The 4,619-nt window shown below is 36.2% G+C and overlaps 1 long non-coding RNA gene across 1 annotated transcript; it reads right to left on the bottom strand.

Moving 5' to 3' along the window:
• Nucleotides 1–696: 696 nt before the first annotated feature.
• LOC105371306 (uncharacterized) lies at nucleotides 697–3,666 on the bottom strand. Its single transcript, XR_933660.2, has 3 exons — nucleotides 3,376–3,666; nucleotides 2,728–2,822; nucleotides 697–736 (listed from the first exon to the last, which is right to left on the bottom strand). It is a non-coding gene; the product is annotated as an uncharacterized LOC105371306 (long non-coding RNA).
• Nucleotides 3,667–4,619: the final 953 nt, after the last annotated feature.

The raw sequence follows: 4,619 nt of genomic DNA, 5'->3' as shown, positions 1-4,619 counted from the left end.
CAAGAAAGACTCACCTCCACCAGAGAATTTATTAGTAATACTCTTGACTTTTCAGAAGGTCTTATAAAGCCTAAGTAAAGAGCTCCTGCCTTTTTGCTTGGGACTGAATATTAGCTCTGTCACTTATATCATTGGCCTTGGGCAACTCTGCAAACTCTGTGAATCCTTCATTTATCATGGGTATAAAACTACCTGCCTCATATGTTCCATGATAATGTTTAAAATAAAATGAAGTAGTGCATGTAAATTGTTTTCTACATATTAAACTCCAGAAAGGGTGGGGGTATTGCTTTCCTGTTTTTTGTGGTTTTTTTTCTATTTTTTTTCTTTTTACTTGAGGTGTGTGCATGTATGTGTGTGTTTCTTTTTGTTCTGGTTGAAAAATCAAGGCCTTTCAGGGACTGCTTTTCCTATGTTCTTCTAAAGGCAAGAAGTTGAAACTATCGTCTAGACAATGAGGTAAAATCTTGTTGACAGACAGAATTTCTGCTGACCTGTTGTTACCCTGACACCTAAGGGTGAGAGAGCACTTGAGAACAGCAATCAGTGGCCCATTTCCTCACTCTTCAGTGGACTGGAGATACTAATTGCCTGATAGTCCCTCCCACTCTGCCTGGATTCCCTCTCCAAAGGCTCTTTTCATTATACCTGTTGTTTATGGCCAAACCCATGAGTCACATTTAGAAATCAAACATGAGGAACTTGACCCCCTCTGATATTCTGAAGCTTTGTTGAGCTGTTAAACAATGAGTGAGAGAAATTATTATTGTTAAAAATAAAAAATTCAGTGGCATGAAATTTCAAGACAGCATTTTCATTTGAAGCCATGAATAATGTAGTTATGGTAATATAGCTGCTATTCATAATTACAAACACTTCATTCCTCCACATGTTCTCATGTCACACAGAGCAGGCTGGTGAGAGCTGGTCTGCTTCTGATTGTTTTTGCTGTGTTTTGCATTATAAATTATATTCTACTCAACCCTGATGACCCCAACTCTATGGCAGCCATTGGCACCATAAAAGTCAATAGCAGCATGTCTCCGAACCTCCCCTGCAGAACTAAATGTTTATCTTAAGTTAGAGCTTGGAGTTTAATCCCATTCAAGAGTTAGATTTAGTTCACAATGCATCACTCTATTTACCATTTTAGCAACAAAATGAGGTTAACCACGAAATTATGCCTTAGAATCCTTCCTTAGCATGAGCACTTCCAAGGCCCTGAGAGAGATCCTAGCTATTTAGTAGTCACCTTTTGTGTTGATTTCTTTTTAACATTATAGTAAAAATCATTGATCTTGACGCTAGTCACATTTTGCTACAAATCCAGATCTGCCACTTAGTAAAACTTGATATAGTATTATTTATACTTTATATTTTTTGAGAATTAAATGCCATAACTCTTTAATATCTTAGTACATGCCTATCACTAAATATCCAATAAGTAATAGTGTTTATAAAAGACCTAGTAAGATTTATGATTAAAAATAATAGCTATTTCGCAACAACTCTCGGTTCAATTTTAACCTTTTCAAATCTTGAAGTGAAAAACCTTTACGTTTAAATATCTTTACACTTAAAATTTATTGTAAAGTTAGTGTGTTCATTTGATATAATTATATATTTTTTGTCCTTGAAAATTGTCTAAATTGATCGGATATCTTTAAACATAATTCTGTATTTGAATCTCCAGTCTCTCATGAGAATACAGTCTCTACTCACGAGAGTTATAGATTAATTTAATTTCAAGTAGTTAACTGACATGCATACATTCACGCAATCAGTAGGCCACTGAGTTTGGACAGGTTATTCAAATAAATCAGTTGGTCTGGCACTCGTGCCAAGAATTTTTGCACTTTTTGGACAAATACAAATGTGAAACGTAAACAGGTAAAAGGGAAACTGACATGGATGGAGTTTTTCAGAAAGAAAGAAAAAAAAACTTTAAAAAAGGAAGATAAAGAAATAAAAGAAAGGAAGAGTGAAAGGCAGGAGAGAAGGAAAAAGATAAAAATAAATAGCATTATAAATGCCACTAAGTAACCCATGATAACAAGCTAATGTCAAATTGCAGAAAGTACATTATATTTAGAAATATAATTTACAAATACATTTTGTTTGGTAACAACTCAGTACCTTACTTATTTGCCTCTTTTTTTTTTTTTTTTTGGCCTGTTATTGTCACAGTGCAAGTATTCAAATAAATACAAACATCATCGCATCATCACAAACCCTGCTCCATTTCTATTTGATCATTTCAGCAAAATAGTAGGATAATTTTGAATTTGACCTTAAATTCTATAATTATCTGCCTAGGCCTAGAAAACATTAGGCTAAAATTTTCCGATTTTCAACCTTTCTTTTTTCCCCTCTTTCTCTCCCTCCCATCTTTCCAACTTACCTCCCTCTTCCTGCTCCATATAAAGTCTTTTGTGCTCGAGTATATAAATTGTTAAAACGGAAGTACTGAGTCTTTCTAAGGTTAAAGATGAATGACGAAGTAGGATTCTATTCAACCACATTCAGAAACATTACTATAACTCATGGTTGTTGATTGTCTACTGAGTAAAAGACATTATGTTTGGTTTTCTAAGTGAATTAATATTTAAAGAGTTTGAGATACAATGTAGTAAGCCAAGGGTAGAGAATATGTAAACAGTACCAGTCCCAGTGCAAAATTATACATTTACTAAGATTCAGTCAAATCTTAACTTGCTACATGCTCACCAGCTGTGTCACTTGGAGCAAGTTTCTTAACCTCTTGGAGTTCAGTTTGCTTAAATTTAAAATGGATGCTAATGATGCTTATCAGCTTTGCTTTGCTGTGAAAATTAAGTGAGAAAAAAAGGGTTTACTGCTAAATAAGTGTTAATTCTCTAACCCCTGCTAACCATCCACCCTCAGCCTTTTCTTTCTTGAATTTCTTTCCTGAGTCTTAAATTTAAACTTTTTCTCACTTTTTCTAAACTCACTATCAGATTCCTCCCTATACTCTAAATTATAGGTGCGTAAGGAGGACTTTAAGTGTTACCTCAGGAGGCAAGACTACATTTCAAACACTCTTAATCTTATTTATGAATAAATAATAGTGTATTTTCTCCTAAATGTTTATTTCTGTATTTCTCAAAAAATGTCTCCACACAAATCATAAGAGTATTATGTGGGAACTTGTTTCTTTTGGGGCTCAGAAACTGATAACCCAAAGCTTGGCATTTTGCTGTGCTGAGTACCTGTAATTAAAGGAAATTAAAAGGCCTCAGAAGTAGCTTCAGAGGCAAATCTTCTCTTTGACCTTCTCCTACTTCTGTCTTCATCCACTCTTTCTCCCCTGAAGTGGGTCATAGATACTAGTAATAAAGAAATTCTCTGACCTACCTTGTCTGCAAGCCACAGAAACTACAGTTCTTCTTCCTCAAGGTAAATCTTAGAAACTAGAACTCCTCTCCACCAGCATCAACCATAAAACCTAGAAAGGTCACTCTCTCCCTTCTTCCTTGAAGACCTTTGTCAGATACAAAAGAAGTTCCTCTTCAAAGATTTAGCTTGTTCAGTGTCCTTGTTCTTTGTTCCCTACTTCCAAAGCCAAACTAACTTCCTTATCCTTTGTGCCTCCCTGTTTTAGTTTCAGTAAACAACTTTCCTGCCAGTCCTTATCTACAGAGCCCACATCTGCTACCCACTCTGTAAATTACCCCTCTCATCACAATGGCTTTTCCTGCCAAAACTGCCCTTCCTGCCAGTATGACCACACTCCTGTACCATTCAAGTTAGCCAATCAGGTTCAGCTTAGATTGTGCGGTCCAACTCCAGCCAGTGGAGGCAGGACACAGTAACAGGGACAAGCTACATTAGGCATTAAAAACCCCTTTCCTCCTTTGTTTGGTGTGCTCTCGTGGTGACCAGACCTGTGAGAAGCACCCTTCTGCAGAAGTAAATTTGCCTTGCTGAGAAATCCTTTGTTTAAGTGCTCATTTTCTTTACGACACCAAGCATTTGTTTCTAACACCTTCATTCTAGAAGTGCCCTGCCCGATACCTTAGAGGAGGGCATGTTACACAGAGAAGCTGAGAAGAATCTGAACAGGCCTTGTTGGATTTCCCCCTCAGTCTATTACCATTATATTGTCCCAATCACATTTCTTCATGGGTGTCCACCGTTCATTGAATCTAAGCATAAACATGAATAGTTTCTCTGGGACTTTGAGTTTTCATTTCAGAAGGCTCCTGAGTCATTTAAAATTCTATGGATTTTTTGTTGGTTATTTACTTATTTATTTATTCATATAGAGATGGGGTCTCGCTTTGTTGCCCAGTCTGGTGCAGAACTCCTGAGCTCAAGTCATCCTCCCACCTCAGCTTCCCAAAGTGTTGAGATTACACACATGAACCACCATTCCCTGCTGTAAAACTTTTATTAAATAGATTTGATACGCTTATCTCTTGGTAACCTGTCTTTTGTTATAAGAGTATCAGCCATGATGCTTCTGATAAATGAAGAAAAGTATCACATCTTTCTGGCCCTACACTTAAAAAAAAAAGAAAAAAGACAGAAAGAAAAGAAGCAAACAACAATTGAGAATAATATTATAGCTACCTGATGGGTTATTTCATCCCACTGCA

The sequence above is a fragment of the Homo sapiens genome, chromosome 16, assembly GCF_000001405.40.
Source record: "Homo sapiens chromosome 16, GRCh38.p14 Primary Assembly".
Lineage (NCBI taxonomy): Eukaryota > Metazoa > Chordata > Mammalia > Primates > Hominidae > Homo > Homo sapiens.
The sequence above is the reverse complement of the archived record's forward strand: the minus strand, read 5'-3'. Positions and strand labels throughout refer to the sequence as shown.